The sequence below is a fragment of the Homo sapiens genome, chromosome 1 (genome assembly GCF_000001405.40).
Source record: "Homo sapiens chromosome 1, GRCh38.p14 Primary Assembly".
NCBI classification, from domain to species: domain Eukaryota; kingdom Metazoa; phylum Chordata; class Mammalia; order Primates; family Hominidae; genus Homo; species Homo sapiens.
The window spans coordinates 205,086,049-205,105,870 of NC_000001.11; the positions used below are offsets into that span (position 1 = coordinate 205,086,049).

At 40.5% G+C, this 19,822-nt stretch overlaps 1 protein-coding gene and 1 pseudogene across 10 annotated transcripts in view, besides 3 other annotated features; one reads left to right on the forward strand and one right to left on the reverse strand.

Moving 5' to 3' along the window:
* Positions 1–93: 93 nt before the first annotated feature.
* Positions 94–19,822, reverse strand: part of RBBP5 (RB binding protein 5, histone lysine methyltransferase complex subunit) — a 35,837-nt gene continuing 16,108 nt past the window's right edge. For 4 of the 10 annotated variants that reach the window (XM_047426902.1, XM_047426907.1, NM_005057.4 and 1 more), the window contains 11 exons: positions 18,980–19,120; positions 17,809–17,971; positions 15,552–15,661; positions 14,104–14,223; positions 13,863–14,016; positions 13,693–13,764; positions 12,941–13,058; positions 11,278–11,347; positions 10,634–10,863; positions 8,825–9,016; positions 94–2,767 (listed from right to left, as the gene is read on the reverse strand). In XM_047426902.1, the coding sequence (XP_047282858.1) occupies positions 2,739–2,767; positions 8,825–9,016; positions 10,634–10,863; positions 11,278–11,347; positions 12,941–13,058; positions 13,693–13,764; positions 13,863–14,016; positions 14,104–14,223; positions 15,552–15,661; positions 17,809–17,971; positions 18,980–19,120 (1,399 nt within the window). In that variant the 3' untranslated portion in view covers positions 94–2,738. Of the gene's footprint in view, positions 2,768–8,824; positions 9,017–10,633; positions 10,864–11,277; positions 11,348–12,940; positions 13,059–13,692; positions 13,765–13,862; positions 14,017–14,103; positions 14,224–15,551; positions 15,662–17,808; positions 17,972–18,979; positions 19,121–19,822 lie in introns of those variants that run through there. The other 6 variants (NM_001193273.2, XM_011509833.4, XM_047426905.1 and 3 more) reach the window with 5 other exon arrangements.
* Positions 4,873–5,167: a silencer, noted in NCBI's record as "tiled region #1805; K562 Repressive non-DNase unmatched - State 17:Gen3'". NCBI's record gives its function as "represses a minimal TATA promoter and a strong SV40 promoter by Sharpr-MPRA in K562 cells {active_cell/tissue: K562}" and the evidence as "EXISTENCE:reporter gene assay evidence [ECO:0000049][PMID:27701403]".
* On the forward strand, positions 5,115–5,982 carry GYG2P2 (glycogenin 2 pseudogene 2; annotated as a pseudogene).
* Positions 18,770–18,914: an enhancer, noted in NCBI's record as "145 bp 1:205074018 sequence used in MPRA reporter constructs". NCBI's record gives its function as "activates a minimal TATA-containing promoter with rs6683762 allelic activity by MPRAs in UACC903 melanoma cells {active_cell/tissue: UACC903}" and the evidence as "EXISTENCE:reporter gene assay evidence [ECO:0000049][PMID:36423637]".
* Position 18,842: a transcriptional cis regulatory region, noted in NCBI's record as "rs6683762 or 1:205074018 MPRA-significant variant associated with a GWAS melanoma risk locus at 1q32.1". NCBI's record gives its function as "allelic transcriptional activity by MPRAs in UACC903 melanoma cells {active_cell/tissue: UACC903}" and the evidence as "EXISTENCE:reporter gene assay evidence [ECO:0000049][PMID:36423637]".

Sequence of the window (19,822 nt, forward strand, 5' to 3'; positions counted from 1 at the left end):
CAACACAGGAAATCACACTTTCCTTTGTACTAAAGCAAAGTGGCCAGAGAGTTCCAGAAGTGAGCAGTGTTTACAAATAAACATCTACACCTGTTCTTTAATAAACATCCGATTTTATTTACAAAGCATTAAAGCTTCAGCAAGAAGTACCCAAGGCTAAGTCTCATCTTGTACAAAACTACAGATTTTTTTTTTTTTTTTTTTTTGAGATGGAGTCTTGCTCTGTCACCCAGGCTGGAGTGCAGTGGCGCAATCTCAGCTCACTGCAACCTCTGCCTCCTGGATTCAAGCAATTCTCCTGCCTCAGCCTCCCGAGTAGCTAGGATTACAGGTGCCCGCCACCACGCCCAGCTAATTTTTGTATTTTTAGTAGAGACGGGGTTTCACCATGTTGACCAGGCTGGTCTCAAACACCTGACCTCAGATGATCCACCAGCCTCGGCCTCCCCAAGTGCTGGGATTACAGGTGTGAGCCACCATGCCCAGCCCAGAATATTTTTAAAAACAAAATTTTGGGGGTGGCAGGGCAGGGATGACAAAAAGGAAGAAGAGAATATACATATATTGTACAAATCAAATAATTCAAATTGAAATGGATAGAAGGTTTTTTAAAAGTTGAAAAAAAAATTCCAAAAACATAAATAATTATTAGGAGCTACTGCCAGAGACAATCTGACAGGGCTGAAGATGATTTTCTCAGTAGCCAGTTTAGGAGGTGGACATAGCACAAACATCCAAATGCACAGGCAGAGGAAACCAAGCTACTTCACACGTGGAAAGATGGCAGAAACCCTCTAAGTCCCATAGTTTGCACACTGCTGCAGTGTACAGTGCAGAGGACTGGAATGGATATAATGTCTGCAAAACAAAAACATGTCTAGTGAGCCATCTACTAATCTCAACCACTGGTCTAACTCATGACAGTCTCAAAATGAATATTTAAGAAAAAAGTAGTGGCATCTAAAAATATAGACGTTTTGCAACTGACTCAGGGAGAGCTCTTTCTTCAACTACTGAATATACTGGTTTTAAATGATGGAGTGAGACAAAGAGGCTCTTGCTGACGTGCTCTACTTTGATTTCTATCCTAAAATCTAACAGGTAATCAATGTGTTTGGCTACCTATAGGAGCATCCACCAACTGATATCATTTTTTTTTTTTTTTTGAGATAGAGTCTCATTCTGTCACCTAGGCTGGAGGGCAGTGGTGCGATCTCCACTCACTGCAACCTCTGCCTCCCACGTTCAAGTGATTCTCCTGACTCAGCCTCCAGTGTAGCTGGGATTACAGGCATGTACTACCACGCCCAGCTAATTTTTGTCTTTTAATAGATACAGGCTTTCACCACGTTGGCCAGGCTGGTCTTGAACTCCTGACCTCGGGTGATCAACCCGCCTTGGCCTCCCAAAGTGCTGGGATTACAGGCGTGACCCACCACGCCCGGCTCACCAACTGATATATTTCACAGTAAGCACAGTATTTAAATTCTCCTTTTAAAATATTGAAAAAAAAAAAAAAAAAAAAAAGACGATCCAGATTAAGCACTTCCAGTCAGCTAAAAACGCCACTCAGAGAAGCTACTGAGCCCTTTTCACACCTGGTTTCCTAATGGGATTTTCAGAGAATTTCAAACACCAAATGTACACATCTATCCAATCTGTTATTTTTATAAAGAACAACAAATGTCAAAAAAAAAGCTAAGCAACCTTTCACAGAAAGGAAGTGACTGAAAACACAGTAAGAAAAAGGAGCACAGGTATAGGCAGGGAAAAATGCAATGACTGATGAGGATAGATTTCCACAGGCAGTGATACAAAAAATTCACCTTGATCTTTGATTTGAACTATGTGGTTGCTGCTTTGATTCTGGATGGTTTTACTTTACTCCTTGCATAGATTCCCCCACCCCAGTAAAAAAGTAGCTTGTTGAGAGACACCTGGGTTTGTTTCCATCTCTGGAAGCCAGCACAGGTAAAGCAATATAAACTATTGATGATTCTTTGCTGGAGATGGATAAAACTAGCTATCTTCAAAAACCATGATTGATGACAATGAACCAATATTGGAGGGAAACATGCAATGAGAGGAAAACAAGGGAAAACCCTGAATTGTTACAGCCCAGCTTCTTGAGCAAAACGTGGTATGAGAGGAAGAGAGGGCCTTCGTTGTTCCCTTTCTGAAAATTTGAAATCTTTCAAGCACTTTCTTTTCTGCCCATCCTTTGCACACAATATGGAAATATAGGAGGTATCTGGGGAGAGGAGAAGTTTAAAATGAGAGTATCCAACAAAAGCTTTCCTAGGATACCAGTAGCAAAATTTCAGATAAGAAGTCACTCAAAGACATGCATTGAGGACCGAAGGCAAATGGGAGATAGGAAATGACATGTCAAAATGACGCTGGGTACAATGAAGTTAGATGAGCAAAACATAAGTATCTTTTCTCCAGCAACATAACTAAGCATCAAAGTTTAAATGAGTCAAAATTCCTATCTGATGTCTTCACAAATCTTCATTCCTGAGAGTCTATTTGGACTTATGCTTGAAAGGGAAGGGAAGGTCGTATACTCTTCTTCCATAATTCACTTCTTCATTTAAACATAAAATTCACCCTCCCACCTCCTGGGTGGGAGGCACAGGCCTTTGTTTTAAATTAAAGTCAATTTTCAAATGACTGACCACAGTGTCCAGAGGCCACATGATGGCAAAGTGAGAAAGAATGAAGAACTTCGAAGGTCTTCATAACAGTTCTGAGATTGCTCCTCCTGCTAAAGAGATTAGACACAAAAAGATTTCTTTTAGCTTCAATTTAGACCAGTTACTTGTAAGAACAGAAATACTGAATGCTGGATGATGCATTACAAGCACACGTGGACCAAGAAATTCCCCTTTTTAAGAAAATACATAACCAACTCCAACTCCCAATTACTCTTTATTGAACAAAAAACAATCCAAATCCAAACCCCCCACCCCAATACTTTCCTCAGTACTGTCCCAAAGGGTTGGGGGAAAAGCAAAATGATCAGAGTTCTATTTTTTCTAAGCTGCTAACCATGCTCTAAGGTGCTAACAAATAATGTTTAACATTCCAAAAAGTGCAATGAGGAGAGGAGAAGAAATTTTAGGGTACCACACCTTTCAACCCTTCATATATTTTAAAGATTGATTAGTCACTAAATGATTAACAAGTGAGCAAGAAACCCTTTTCCCAGCACCACAGTTCCTTAAGTGACATACTTATCACCTTAGAATCCCAAATATGGTGAAATGTTCGTGAGAGCTACTGTCTACATTGCTATACACCAACAATGATCGATAAATAATATCCTGAATAGTACAATGAAATGAACACTTCCCTGATTATTCCATAGAAGCTGCTCAACCTCTGAGAGACATCGTTAAATGAGCTGCTGTGAAATATTAACTAGGAAGTGTAAAAAGAGAAGAAGGTGAAGAAAATCCTCCCAGGTGTCATTTGGAATGGCAGAGAGCATGCCACTTGAAGGTATAATGGTTAAAAAATAATCGCCCAAACTATGAAAGAAAAGTACCCATTTATATAACTTTGATTTTTGAAGTTCCTGCACAAATGAAAACTGGCAATAAAAATATATTCACATGTGCCTGAGAACAGACTAAAGTTACAATGAGATACAAACTTTCTACTGAATGTTATGCTGTTAAAAATCAAATTTAAACTTTTCCATAGTTCAGTCAGATTAAAAGCTTACTTAGCAATGGTTTTTCAGATCTCTCTCAACATAAATCACAATGAATTCCTTGCATTGATTTTTTATTTATTTTATTTATTTTTATTTTTTTAGACAGAGTTTCACTCTTGTTGCCCAGGCTGGATTGCAATGGCGTGATCTCAGCTCACTGCAACCTCCGCCTCCTGGGTTCAAACGATTCTCCTGCCTCAACCTCCTAAGTAGCTGGGATTATAGGCGCCCACCACCATGCCTGGCTAATTGTTTTGTATTTTTAATAGAGACGGGGTTTCACCATGTTGGCCAGACTGGGCTTGAACTCCTGTCCTCGAGTGATCCACCCGCCTCGGACTCCCAAAGTGCTGGGATTACAAGCGTGAGCCACTGTGCCCAGCTACATTGATTTTTAAAAAACTTCCTGTGATAGAAAAATCCACTCCACAAGACTCAATATCATGCCTTACCACTTTAAGGCAATTTTCACCAACTATTCCCACAGGTACCCTGACCAATTTAGTGGTAATCATCTAAAAATGAATACAACATTGCCATTTTAAACCTAAATCATAATAGGAGAAAGTGGCTTGATCACTAATCAACAGCATTAGTAATAGGCACTCAAGATGACTAATGAGCTACCTTATACTGGAGGGCAGCTCATGTTTCTATACCGTCCTTGTTTTTCTGAATAGACAAAATAAATAAATAAAAGTCAAACAAAACAAAAGCTTGTTGAGGCATCAGGCAACAAATCAAAACCAGAGCAAGCAGTACTATGAGCAAGATAAGATACACAGAACTAGCAATATAGAAGACTCCAGCCAATTTAAAGACCTGACGCAGCAACTGCCCCCAAGGAAACATATTATTTAGCTACAACATAAAGGAAATCTCCAGTAATGTAACAGGTAGGAAAATTCAGCTCAAAATGACCAGCTATTATTGGTACTTTCCAGTAGCAGCCCAATCTAGGTTGGCCTAAGAGAACACTGAATCATGATTTCAAACCCTACCTTAGTTAGTTAATAACATCCCACAGAGTGAGAAAGACTACCTTGATTCTAGCAGGAATTCATAAATTAGTCTTCACAAGGAAAGGAAGGAAAAGAAGGAAAGGAGGGAGGGAGGGGAGAGAAAAACAAAGAGAGAAAAAAAGAAAACAAAACTACCAAGCATTAAAAAAAAAAAAATCACAGATTCAGTAAGTGACTTGGAGGTGGTTCAGAGCCTTAGGGTGATGGGCTGGCACCAGGGCAGTGGTGTAGCGCAGCCCAAGACAGGGAAATCTGCATGGTGCCTGTCCACTCCCAGAAATGTCGCTTCTGCTCACTTTGGCCCTTGCCATCTCCAACAGACCCAGGTGTGCACCAACCCCTTCATGTCTACCATCCCATGAGGCCTTTAGAACGTGTATGTAACCGACCACACCTTTGTCCCACTTTATTACTGATGTTTTTACTGCCAAGGAGCCCTAGCTCTTGGGCAATCCTTGAGCAATCACAGACAACTAGGACTGGTGATTCTGCTCACATCTCAAGTTTCTGGTCTCAGGACTGTCCTCTGGAGAGTATTTAAAGTAACTAAGAAGCATTTGATAGATAGCGCAGACTATGTTAGCCTGGTCCTTCCCAAAAGTCCCAAGCTCAGGGTTACCCTCACCAAGCTTCACTTTGGGTCCTCATTCACATAGAAAAATGTCCACATGAATGTGGGCCCTCTAGTGCTAGCCAACACTGACAAGCTGTTTGACAGGAAACAATTTTCTATAGCCCCAGATTCCAGATGGCCAGATTATCTCTATAGTGGTCTCTCTGCCAATTTTCCCTTGAAATGCATACTCTCCTGTTGCAACAGACAACAGACTATGGTAGTTTTGTTAGGGCTAATCAGTTTATGGAACAGTTTCTACAGTAACTGGTCAACTACAGATATTAACAAACAGTTGTCATTCATCTAACTTGGGTAGTAACACAGCCTACAACTATAATCCTACCTTCAAATGATTTGACTCAAATGCTGAAGTTGTCCATGGGGCAGGGGGCCAAAACCTTGAATCTACACATACAACCCTCAGACCGGAGTGATTTTTGAAGATGGTTTGGCCTCAGAAGTTTTGCATCAGGTTTCCTTTCTTAATACCTGGTGGAAAATCTACAATAACTATATATTGGCTTTTACTGAAAATCTCCAAGGTGTGGAAGAATATGAGATCCAAATGCCAGAGTTTCCCTGAGTGGTCTTGATGGGCCATATGCAAATCAGCAGCAGGTACCAGTCTGACTTAGCTTGCTCAGAGCCCTCCAAGACGACCACGTTACTGGATAAAGCCCTACCCTCACCCAAACAATCCCATATAAAAACATGATAGGTTGCCCTAAAACAGACTTTTGATGGAATTATCTGTGATATCCAATTTCATCACTCTCCCCAAAATTTTCAACCTTCACAAAGATCCAAACCACTCTGCAGCTGGTCAATAAAGCCAGATGTAATCCTTCTGTGGAAGTCTTGGAACTATACCTCAATGCCCCTTTGAGGTTTTTGGGTTGTTTTTTAATTATTTTTTTCTTTTGTAGAGACAGGGTCTCACTATGTTGCCCAGGCTTGTCTCGAATTCCTGGGCTCAAGCAATCTGACCGCCTCAGCCTCCCCAAGTGCTGGGATTACAGGTGTGAGCCATTGCACCTGGCTGGTTTTATTTTTGTTTGAGACAGGGTCTCACTCTGTTACCCAGGCTGGAGTGCAACGGCGTGATCATAGCTCACTGCAATATCAAACTCCTGGGCTCAAGCGATCCTCCTGCCTCAGCTTCCTATGTTACCAGGTGGACCACAGATGTGCACCACCACGCCTGGCTAATTTTTTGATTATTTTGTTTCCCAGGCTGGTCTCAAACTCCTGGGCTCAAGCAATCCTCCTGTCTTGGCCTCTCAAAGTGCTGGGATTATAGGCATGAGCCACTGCACCCAGCTCAAGGTTTTTTCTTGTTTGTTTGATTGGCTTTTACATAGATGGGGTCTCACCATGTTGCCCAGGCTGGTCTTGAACTCCTGGGCTCAAGAAATCCTTCTGCCTCAACCTCCCAAAGTGCTAGAATTACAGGCGTGAGCCTTATTTACCATAATTTCCTTTTGAAAAGCACATGATTAGGGATAGACACGTTTTAAGAAGCTAGGAGATTATGTCCTAAAGTGTTTTAATTAATTATGTTTGGCCACATTTTAAATCACCCTTAAAATATTTTAGCTCTCCAGGCCAGGGAAATCTATTTAAACTTTAAATTGCGTTTCTTCTGTAGTGGCATCAGTGTGTGCAAGAAGTGGGTTTGGAAGGATTGCTCTTATTTACATCTAGTCATTCTGCAATCTTTGTTGGCAATGCCCACGACTGCTCCAGGCTACTTTACAATATATACAAACATGCCGGGCGTGATAGCTCACACCTGTAATCCCAGTACTCTGGGAAGCTGAGGTGGGTGGATCACTTGAGGTCAGGAGTTCAAGATCAGCCTGACCAACATAGTGAAACCCCGTCTCTACTAAAAAAACACAAAATTAGCCAAGCATGGTGGTGCACGCCTGTAATCCCAGCTACTCAGGAAGCTAGGCAAGAGAATCACTTGAACCAGGAGGCAGAGGTTGCAGTGAGCTGAGATCGCACCACTGCAATTCAGCCTGGGGACAAGAGTGAAACTCCGTTTCAAAAAAAAAAAAAAAAAAAAAATATATATATATATATATATATATATATATATATATATATATATATATATATATACACACACACACACACACACACACACACACACACACAGCATTATATGTATATATACACAAACACAGCCTTAGGTGGGTTGAATGTGGACGTGGTAACCATCAGTGCACCACCATAAATGTTGTCGGGAAAAAAATATTGGTACTCAGTGGTATGGTGTTGGGCTATCAAAAACTAAAGTCTAAATCTAGTAAACTCGAGATGGAATACTCAAAATGATGAATAACTGTCTATTTCAGCTTCTCTGTAAGAGAATTCATGTTTACAGACAATGATTAAATGATGTAAGTTATAAATTAAACAAAGAATTCTGTTTTGCACTCTAGTCCACACATTTAGATTAAAATTTTAAAGTCGGGGGAGCCTGAATACAACCATTGATACGTTATCAATCCTACCTTTGAGTCTACCAAACTAGCCACAAAAAAATTGAGAATACTGTATTAACTAAAGCAGTGCTTCTATATAAAGCAAAAAAACAATTTCCAAAGCCCAATGTTTACACAGAAATGGATTCTAATTTGATTAACATTTTCTAAACAAGAGACCAATTAGCCTAGGCTCACAAGTATTTGGTAAGAAACAGAAATTGTTTTCTGTCCCCCAATAAAAATCCCTCAGTAATATAAAAGTGAGAAAACTCAAATATTATGTATCAAAAGGCTTAGGTGTTAAGAAACTACACAGATACTGTAGTTTCTGTCTTTTTGATCATCTCCTCCTGTTTTCAGATATTGGAAAAAAATCAAAAACCAAAACAAACCCCATCTTCTTCCTTAACACGATGGTACTAACAATTTCATTATTGCTTCTGGAATACTAAGAGAGAGAAAGCACTACCTGTGGGATTTGAACAATTTGAAGAGGGAGAGAAAAGATGCCACAGTGAACCAGTCAAGGACTATATAAAACAAGCTTGTACTTCTGGCTACTTGTCTGGCTCTTTGAGACAAAACAAACAAAAAACCTAAGAGCAAATATGGATGAAGAAATGAATTAAACCAGAGGTTCTTACCCTTCTTTGGGTCATGAATTCCTACAGGAATCTGAGGAAAGCTATGGACATCTTCCCCAGAAAAATATTCACATAATATTTTGCATATAACATCAGGGGAATGTAGATTTATTGAAAACTATTTACAGACCCAAGGTTAAGAGCCACTGAATTAAGCCAAATCTGGTTTAGCCTGCCCTTAGCAGCAGCTTAAAATTCAGAAATTATCTGCTGCTGGGAAAAACGAGGGAAGAGAGGGGGAAAAAATGTTGCAGTTAAATGAAGTCAAGGGCTACACAAAGCAAGGCCACGAAGCAAGCCAGACAATGCTCCCAATGTGTCCTTACCTGTCAAGGGCTGGCTGAGTTCCGCCTGCACTTTACCCTTCGCTGATCCTTCCAGAGGTAAACCTCTGTCCCCTTTGTAGAGTTTCGGTTTAAATGGAGAATCTTTCTCTTTACCTTTTGATCCTTTAGGCCGGCCTGCTTGCTTCTTCTTGGATTTGCCATCCCCCTTCACACCCAGTAGTGGATGGACTTCTGTAGGACAGACAGGCATGGAAAGGAATCCACATGACACCAGTCTCATCACCCCAACCACAACTTTGTTGAGCAAAGAATGTTGCTTTGTGTCCCAGATCAATTAATAATTATAAAGAGAAAAGTTTGTCTTATTTCTATAAGTATAAAACAGTGGTCATTAAATGAGAGATAGTTCCTTGGCCAAAAGGCACACATGGCTTATATTAAGCTTGTCCAATCTGTGGCCCACAGGCTACATGCGGCCTAGGACAGCTTTGAATGTGGCCCAACACAAATTCATAAATTTTCTTAAAACATTATGAGTTTTTTTTGCAATTTTTAAAAATCTCATCAGCTATCATTACTGTTAGTGTATTTTATATGTGGCCCAAGACAATTATTCTTCCAATGTGGCCCAGGGAAGTCAAAGATTGGACACCCCTGGCTTATATGTTCATGCCAAGCCACAGTAACTCTAAACTGAACAAGTAGCTGAAAGATGCACTAATACTATCAAACCAAGCCAGAAGAAGGAACACACACAGATGCACACACACATACACAGAGAGGCATGTGAGAGCAGAAAGAGAATGGACTTTGGAACTAGAGAGACTAGAATGAGAATCCTGACCCCACCACTTCTGTGAGACTTTAGGCAAGTTTACAGAACCTCTTACACATAACCTCAGCCTAAATTTTCTCCTTTAAAAAGCAGGTAAAACAACTTGCAGGGTTGATGTAAAAGTCAGCAATGGTACATATACCAAACAGTGTCTGAAACAGAGTAGACACAGAAATCGATAGCATCAGGAAAATAAGTAGTTGCAAAATGTGATCTGCAGTTAGCTAAAAGAGAAGAGGAAGGGCCGGGCGCAGTGGTTCACGCCTGTAATCCCAGCACTTAGGGAGGCCGAGGCAGGCGGATCACTTGAGGTCTGGAGTTCGAGACCAGCCTGGCCAACACGGCAAAACCCCACCTCTACTAAAAATATGAAAATTAGCCAGGCGTGGTGGTGCATGCCTGTAGTCCCAGCTACTCGGGAGGCTGAGGCAGGAGAATTGATTGAACCCGGGAGGCGGAGGTTGCAGTGAACCAAGATCATGCCACTGCACTGCAGCCTGGGCAACAGAGCGAGACCCTGTCTCAAAAAAATAAAATAAAATAAAATAAATAAAAATAAAAGAGAAGAGGAAGAAGGATGCTCAATGGTAAACACACACCCCCATCCATCCCTACTTATCCCAAGACATGATAATAAAGGCTTCCCAAGTCAGACTCTAAAAGGTGGCAGGAAGGATGAAATGATTGTCCAAGTCTAACTAGTATTTTACATCTAATAAAACCACTCTACGGGGAAACATTTAAAAGAAGAATGGTATAATAAACTCTGAGCCGGCTGTCAGAAGAATTAAAGTGCAGCATCTTAGGCAAAGTACTGAAGGGCAGAATTTCTCCATTTTAAGAGAGAAGTGAACACAGACGCAATCATTATAAAGTTGTAAAACACTATAAAACAGACTCATGGGAAAATTCCTCTAAGGTGAAATCGCTCAAACAGGAAATTACCAGGTTGCGCTGGGGAGTGAGTAGAAAGTGGCGTCTGCCAGGCCAGAGGGAGAAGATGTAGCTCTTACCATCATTTGGTACTCCTTGAAGTTCTATATTGGTTGTTTTGGGTTTCTTCTTAGGTGGCTGGGACCCATCTGCTGAGGACTGCCTCTTCTTCTCTGAACTAGCCCCTTCATCCATCAAGGAGGTTTGGACTGCATCCGGTGGGGGGCCGTAAGGATTTTCTTCTGGGTCTTCTACCTCAGGGGCAATGGGTAAATACAATAGAGCCTTTGAATCTTCCAGCTCTTCATCACTATTTGGAGCAGGATCAGACAAGGGATTGGAAAAAAGAGGAGATAGTTGCTTAAACCATGAGCCCTTCCTCTATCACCTATATTAAGCATAAGCAACAGGTATGGATCTAGAACTTTAAGAAAGCCAAGAAGAATAAAAGGGAATCAAACAATGTAATTGATAAAATTGGTGATAAAAATAAACAGGATAAATGAATTATTTTGGTTCCTTAAAATTCTCTATCAGGGAGAAGTGAAAGGAACATAGGACTAGAGAAGAAAGGCTACATTGGATTTCTTGTACACCAAACGAGTTATCTCTTTTAGCTAATAAGCAGACGGGAATGAAGGGATAGCCAGGGAAACTGCAGAGTACTCCCCCAGAGGCCAGGAGCAGCAGTAGCCAAGGTGCCCAGCCTTCCGGGCCGGCTCACCTGCTACAGAAGGCAGCAATAGGGTCCACGCTGGTGACATCCACTTCCTCATCTTCTGCAGCATCAGCCCCTGCAGGACAGAAACACAGGAGATGTTTGAGAAGAAGTGAAAAACTGCTTTTTATTTGCAGCTTCAAGGTTTTCATAAGTTGAAATTCCAGAGAAACAAAGGAGGAAAACCAAACAGTTCACTTCACTTAATCATTTAACAAATATGTGCTGAATTTCCACCCTATCCTAGGCACTGAAAATAGTGCAATGACCCAGAAAAAGTTGGGAACAGCTCTTCAGTAAAAGGTTTATAGTCTAACTGGGGAGACAGAGAGACAGTTTCAATTTAATACAGTAATGGTATGTGTAACTTGCTCAGGATATGGGAAGGAGGAACAATTTATGTGGAAATCTGGGAAGGTTTGACAGAACATAACCCTATAATCTAGAACATTCTACTTCCCTGGAGGTCCTCCTAAAACACATTAGGCATGCAAGTTATCTAATATCACAAAAGTGAGGACCAGCACTTTGACACTAAACAGAATCAACCTCATTCCCAATCCTGATTCCTGGCACCATCAAGTATCTCGGGGGTCAATAATCTGTGGCATTAATTACTCACTGACAGTGCCAACTGGGCATCCTAAGCATTCACCCGCACAAACCTTACTATGTTATAAAGCCCTGTGTTAGACACCACGGGGATTAAAAAGTCAAATCTTTATTCTCAAGGAGCTCCTATCTAGAAATTCAGAAGAGATAAAATCACAGTCATAATCATAATGGAAATTAATATCTTAGTGCTTATTATGGCCTAGGCATATATTAAATGCTTTACATGAATTATTTCACTTACTCCCCACAACCCTAAAAAGCAGGTACTATTACTGTCCCTATTTTACAGATGAGGAAATTCAGTTTAAGCAGTATTTTGCCCAAGGCAGTCTGACTTCAGAGCCCAGGTTCTTGACCCTTCTCTTACTGACAAAGGAGTGACAGAATACATGGGAAAAGCTGAGCACTCTTAGCATGGTGAGTTCTTTGCTAGGTGCTGCATGTATGTCCTCACTTAGTCATCTGCAATTAATCAGGAAATACACAATGATATGTTAAGAGAGCTGCTTGAGCCCTGGTAATACCCATATAAGCCCTTAGTAAACACCTTATAAATTAAGGCTCTCCAAATACTGTGGAAATTGTGTAAGCTTAAAGAAAAAAGAAGGCCAGGCACAGTGGTTCATAGGCCAGGCACAGTGGCTCATGTCTGTAATGGCAGCACTTTGGGAGGCCAAAGTGGGTGGATCACCTGAGGTCAGGAGTTCCAGACCAGCCTGGCCAACATGGGGAAACCCCATCTCTACTAAAAATACAAAAAATTCGCTGGGAGTGGTGGCAGGCACCTGTAATCCCAGCTACTCGGGAGGCTGAGGCAGGAGAATCACTTGAACCCAGGGGGCAGAGGTTGCAGTGAGCCAAAATCACATCATTGCATCCAGCCTGGGTGACAAGAGCGAAATTCCATCTCAAAAAAAAAAAAAAAAAAAAGTGTGGGGTGGAGGGGGGCATTTTAGATGAAGTGCTGAAATAAATTTACAACACAAATGAAGAATATTAAGTAAAGCAATCATTTTCCCTTTAGGAAATCCTGTCTGCAATTTAGAAATAGTACCTGTCTGCTCAGGCTCACTCTTATCTTCATCTTCAATATCAAACTCTGATTCCCTTTCTTCGTATTCTACATTTTCATCCAATTCTTTGAAGTCTGGTGCAAATGCACTCCAGTTTTCCTATACAACAAGATATACTACTTAACCATATGTGAAAGCAATAATCTGTAATCTACACATTAATGATAAAATGAAAGATGTGAGCATGAAAGGAATTCACAATTCTTAGATTAAATTTGGCAGACAAGAAAAAAATGGGTATCTGTAAGTTTTACTAGCTTAGGTATTTTCTATCTTAAACATTAAGATAAGCTAAGTTATTAACTGTAGCTCTTTTGAATCACTGCCTTCTTTGGTCATTTTAGGAATTTAGAGGTAAAATGTTAAATTTTCTTGTAAGTACACTGATTACAAACATAATTTAAAGGTGTTCAAAGTAAAATTAAGATGTAAAACAGAAACTGAGCTGAAAGTAAGAAAAGCAAAAGAAAAATGTTATCTCAAATAAATAATAGAAAAATGCAACAGAAAGTTCAATAGAGTTTCTCCCTGAAAAGAGCCAGAAAACCAACTTGGGACCAAGACCTTCCCACCAAAATAAAGTGCAACTAGATGCACTGAACCTATGTAATTTAGGTTGCGAGAATCATATGCAAAAGAAAATAAAAATGTAATTTTTAGCTTCCTATGTATAAGGTTCTTTGATAAAAAGAAGGGGTAACTAGTTTCGAAGCAAGTAAAATAGAATACTTACTACTTGATTCTGTGCCCAGATAGATACCACTCCACTGGAAATGGATGCTATGATGGGTCGAACAGGATGCCACTAAATTTTAGTGAAGGAAAGAAAAACAGGTTGTTAAGAACAGATTTTAGATTTTTTGGATTATGTGACTAACAAAAGCAATGTCCTAATGTACTCACAGCTACATCCAAGAGGAGTTCTCCTCTCGTCCCATGGAGAATCTTCACCAGGTTGCCAATGCTCTTCTCCCAGATGTACAGGGCATGCTGCCGGGCAGAACCTGCCACGATGTATTCCCCATCCCCAGAGAAACAACATTTCTTCCATGGGGTCCTAAAGGACAAGGAAAGTACCAAGGAGAGCTGGAACTCAAGCCCAGGTCATGAATGATCACATATTCTTCTAGGTTGTGATACATACCTATTCACCAAATCCTGCAATTTCTGCATAGGTTCAGGCTCTCCATCTCTTCCACATGTTAAGATTTCTCTGCCATCATAAACTCTGATTATTCGATCTGCCGTGTTAATTAAAAAGCAACTACGGGAAGGATAAAAATATCAACACCAGAGGTCAGAAATCTGTTCCTTAGTACTACAAAACGACTAATAAACTAGGGAAGAATTGAGGAAAAATCAAAGTAATAGACTAGAATATTTATATATCTACTTGTCATCTCCCAAACCAAAATACAATTTTAAGTGGGAATATGTTTTATACTTCCTGTGTATCCCTGAACCCAAAATATACAAATTGTCAGCATTAACTAAGTTCCAAGACCTCTCTACTGAAACCAGCTTCCTAAATTCCCAAGTTTACAGTGAAATGGATATAAATACTTCATCTCTCTGGCCTGTTTTACACATAATATATATTTTTTAAATGAGGTAATAAACTAAATATGTCATTTTAAAATGTCATTTTTACTGTAATGACATTGAAAATCTTAGAAATCTGTATGAAATATTAGTTATTTCATCACTTTCTTGCAGACTTCACTGACTATAACCTTTTCTTAATTCAAGAGAATTTTGAACATTAATATCCTCTAAGTCAGCTGTCCCCAACATTTTTGGCACCAGGGACTGGTTTTGTGGAAGACAATTTTTCCACGGCCCAGGCTGGTGGGAGGATTATGGTTTCAGGATGATACTGTTCCACCTCAGATCATCAGGCATTAGATTCTCATAAGGAGTGTACAACCTAGATCCCTCACATGTGCAGTTCAAAATAGGGTCCGTGCTCCTATGAGAATCTAATGCTGCTGCTGATCTGACAGGAGGCAGAGCTCAGGTGGTAATGCTCACCTCCAGCTGTGTGGCAGGGTTCCTAACAGGCCAATACTGGTCTGTGGCCTGGGGGTTGGGGACCCCTGCTCTAAGTCATGTATGGGTGTTCCTAAACAAAATAGGAGGACTATTACCTCTTACTGACAACGTATTTCCTATTTCTGTTGATATATTCTACGACTTCTAACTAGGTAACCAAACCTACCAGAATAACATCCAAAATTAAAAGGGTAAATAGGCAGTATTCAGTTACAATGTGAATTTGATGACATCAGTCCTGATGATAATAAGTTAATATATACCCAGTGCTTACTATATGCCAGGCATTTTGGTTTTAAGCACTGACCACTTACTTATTTTTCTGTAAAGTAACCGCCTGATAACCTCCAGATAAGGAAGATGTAACTACGGCAGGAAATGTTATGAACTCGAAAACCAGATATTGTAAGTTTCTAAAAACCTTAAGTACATTTTTAAAAAATGCTTAAGTATAATATACATGAAAACTGCAAATCTCCATGTATTTTTGCATTCTATTCACTCTTAAAACTGTCCCTTAAAAGGTAAGATCTCACTCACCTCCCCTTCCGGGCAAACTCAATTGACTTAATGGCTGTGGTATTGCTTGTTCCAGTTGTCACTCTGAAGGAAGCAACAAGATCCTGAGAATCTGTTTTTAGGACCAAAATCTAAAGTTTAAAGGAGGGGGGAAAAAAGTAAGTGTTCCAATAACTAACAATAATTGATTTGGCTTGTTTCTAATACTGCGTAAAGACTGGGTAAAAATGCAAATGTCTCTATTCCCATATATTTGACCTGATTAACTGGTATTGCTGTTTTGCTTCCTTAAGTAAGACAAGGTCTTAATCTAGTCTTTTTTTTTTTTTTTTTTTGAAACGGAGTTTCGCTCTTGTTGCCCAGGCTGGAGTGCAATGGTGCAATCTCGGCTCACTGCAACCTCTGCCTCCTGGGTTCAAGCAATTCTCCTGCCTCAGCCTCCTGAGTAGCTGGGATTACACGCATGCGCCACGACGCCTGGCTAATTTTGTATTTTTAGTAGAGACAGGGTTTCTTCATGTTGGTCAGGCTGGTCTCAAACTCCCAACCTCAGGTGATCCGCCCACCTCGGCCTCCCAAAGTGCTGGGATTACAGGCATTCACCACCACGCCTGGCCAATCTATTCTTAAAATATGATGTTTAGCATTATTCACAATAACCAAAATATAGAAGCAACCCAAGTATCCACAGATAAGCCATATAAACAAAAGTGGTATAAACATAAAATGGAGTATTATTGAGCCTTGAGAAGAAGGAGAAAGATTCTGACACATGCTACACACATGGGTGAAGCTTGAGGACATGAAACTAAGTGAAATAAGCCAGTCACAAAAGGGCAAATACTATATGATTCCCCTTATATGAGGTACCTGGAGTAGTCAAATTCATAAAGAGAGAAGGTCAAAGGGTGTTTCTAGGGGCTGGCGGAGAGCAGGGAATGGGAAATTATGATTCAATAGGTACAGAATTCCAGTTTTACAAGAAGAAAAGATTTCTAAAGATGGATGGTGATCATTGCACAATAGAGTGAATGTACATTAATTACCACTGAACTGTACAGTTAAATATGGCTGAAATGGTAAAATTTATGCTGTGTGTATTTTATCACAATTTCTTAAAAATCAACTTTCTAGGCCAGGCGCGGTGGTTCACACCTATAATCCCAGCACTTTAGGAGGCTGAAGCAAGTGGATCACCTGAGGTTGGGAGTTCAAGACCAGCCTGATCAACATGGAGAGACCCCGTCTCTACTAAAAATACAAAATTAGCCAGGTGTGGTGATGAATGCCTGTAATCCCAGCTACTCGGGAGGCTGAGGCAGGAGAATCGCTGGAACCCGGGAGGGAGAGGTTGCGGTGAACTGAGATGGTGCCATTGCACTCCAGCCTGGGCAACAACAAGAGCGAAACTCCATCTCAAAAAAAAAAAAAAAAATTGCCTTTCTAAGGCCGGGTGCAGTGGCTCACACCTATAATCACGGCACTTTAGGAGGCTGAGGTGGGCGGATCACTTGAGGTCAGGAGTAATTCCAGCTACTCAAGAGGCTGAGGCAGGAGATTCGCTTGAACCCAGGAGATGGAGGTTGCAGTGAGCCGAGATCATGCACTGCACTTTAGCCTAGGCAACAGAGTGAGACTCCATCTCAAAAAAAAAAAAAAAAAAAGGAAAAATTGCCTTTCTAAAATAGCCATGAAATTATACTAACCCATGTGCCACAGTCAAAAAATAAAAATAAAAATAAATCAAGATGCCCAGTGGAACTATCCTAAGCATGAAAAGAATCTTTAAAAGGTCACCTAACCTGACTTCTTATTCCACAGAAGAAACACCTTCTACAATGTATTCCAGAGAAAAGGGCCTACACATTCCAAAAGGCAAAGTCAGAAGTTTGAAGGAAAAAGAAGAATAAGTCTCAGTACTGTAAGTTAAGCTGGCCTGAATTATACAATCTTTTATAAAACCAGATATTGAGAAATTTTGATCAGCAGTGTTCCAGCTGATAACATGACATTGAAATTTTATAATTTCATAATGGCCCTTCATTACTAGCATCCAGTAAAGGTCCTCCCATGCTTTTCTAGGTCAAATAATCTCTATCACTCTAAATCCAAAGAACAAAAATTATTATTAAGAGATGGAAGAAAATTAGACTACATTTGCTGCAGAAAGGAGCTGTGCTTAGTCCAAGAATAAAAACAATTTTCAAAAGAAACAAAACAAGTAAACATTAAATGAGCCAGTGTACAAGATGCCTGATTTGCCAGCTTTTAGGCTTACCTTGCCTTTTGCGTTTCCCGTATAAATATATTCCCCTCGCCTATCAAAAGATGCCACAACGTTCAAATCGGAGTCATCGTCCACCGGCAGAACAACATGTTTGGAATCTGAAAGGGTCAACATGACAGGAGCAGATTTCATGGGACACACGAGAACCTTGTTCCTGTTTAAAAATACGAACAGTACATTGGCTGTTGCTTTGGTATCAGCAAGCTGATTCCCTGTCCTTTTCCCTGATCCCTGTCCATACCCTCATCAATTCTCCCACCCAAGCAAATTTGAAACAGTGAAAAAGCATAAAATCCACAGGTCTAATAACAGGGAAAATTCTGAGTAAAATTAGTCTTGACAAAATAAAACATGATCATTAAAAAAAAGTAAGAGGCCAGGTGCAGTGGCTCACGCCTGTAATCCCAGCACTTTGGGGAGGCTGAGGCGGGCAGATCACTTGAGGTCAGGAGTTCGAGACCAGCCTGGCCAACATGGTGAAACCCCATCTCTACTAAAAATACAAAAACTTAGCCGGATGTGGTGCCTGCACCTGTAATCCCAGCTACTTGGGAGGCCGAGGCAAGAGAATCGCTTGAAAACAGGAGGAGGAGGGTGCAGTAAGCTGAGACTGTGCCATTGCACTCCAGCTAGAGCGTCGCAGCGAGACTCCATCTCAAAAAAATTAAAATTTAAATTAAAAAAAACGCATTCAGGGCCAGGCGCAGTGGCTCATGCCTGTAATTCCAGCACTTTGGGAGGCTGAGGTGGACAGATCACGAGGTCAGGAGTTCGAGACCAACCTGGCCAACATGGGGATACTCTGTCTCTGCTAAAAATACAAAAATTAGCCAGGCATGGTGGCACGCACCTGCAGTCCCAGCTACTCGAGAGGCTGAGGCAGGAGAATCTTGAACCCAGGAGGCAGAGGTTGTGTGAGCCAAGATGGCGCCACTGCACTCCAGCCTGGGTGACAGAGCAGGACTCTGTCTCAAAAAAAAGAAAGAAAGAAAGAAAGAAATGTATTCAGTAGAGCCAACCTAGATGGAAAGATTATTTTATGTAGAAGGTTTGAAGAGATGTGTATTTGCCTTCTAAAACCATAAACTAAAATTATCATGAGCCCAGAGCTAATCCATATAGAATTAGACCCCACCCCAGGAGAGAAATAGCTTAAACATACTGATCTCGTGGATGATATTGGACTTTTAAGATGGGTGAAGGGAATCGAAACCTCTGGTCACAGTCGCCTGAAAGAACATCCCACTGTGACACTATGTTATCAGTGGAAGCACTCACGAGTTTATGACCATCTCGGCTCCAGCTGAGGAAAAAAAAGGGGTAATTTAGCACATATTCTAAGTATATCATACCACTCTCATGAATAAACTGTGTAAGTCACACACATTGCTGCAACTGCACAGGTCAACAATGTTTTTGGTTTTGTTCCACGTATACTCAAATCCATAAGCTTTTCCAACTAGGCAATTAATAAGAAGGTTTTCATGACATTTTACTATCTAGTAATGGAAGCTCATAATATTTCAAGATAAAACTATAAAGTGACTCAGTGAAATAAGAGATTAAAACATCTTAGAAGAGTCTAAAAAATCAGCTGCGCTTTAAGAGTTGATATATTTGAACTTTCTGAAGTCATCTCAGAAGTAGCACCATCATGGTATAAACAAAACAAAAAAATGATAAGTATCTGTTATTTAAAATAATTTTAAAAGAACTGAGAAAGAATTAATTCCTCCTGGTAAGTACAGATAAACACACTGGACATAATATATAAAACAGACAAAAAAGGTTCTGAAAGGTAGACAAAGGACAGGCAAGCCAGAGACTGTAGAATCTTAAGGATGACACAGTAGTGAAATCCCTGAATTTTCTGCCTCATGTTCCCCGTTCTGGGTGAAGGAGAAGCCAACAACCTGGTAATGCCAGTGGGCACGCATAAAAAGCCCCAAGAAGAGCTAAGGGACCAGAAAAGGACAGCCCAGCAAGACAGAAAACTTTAAGACAA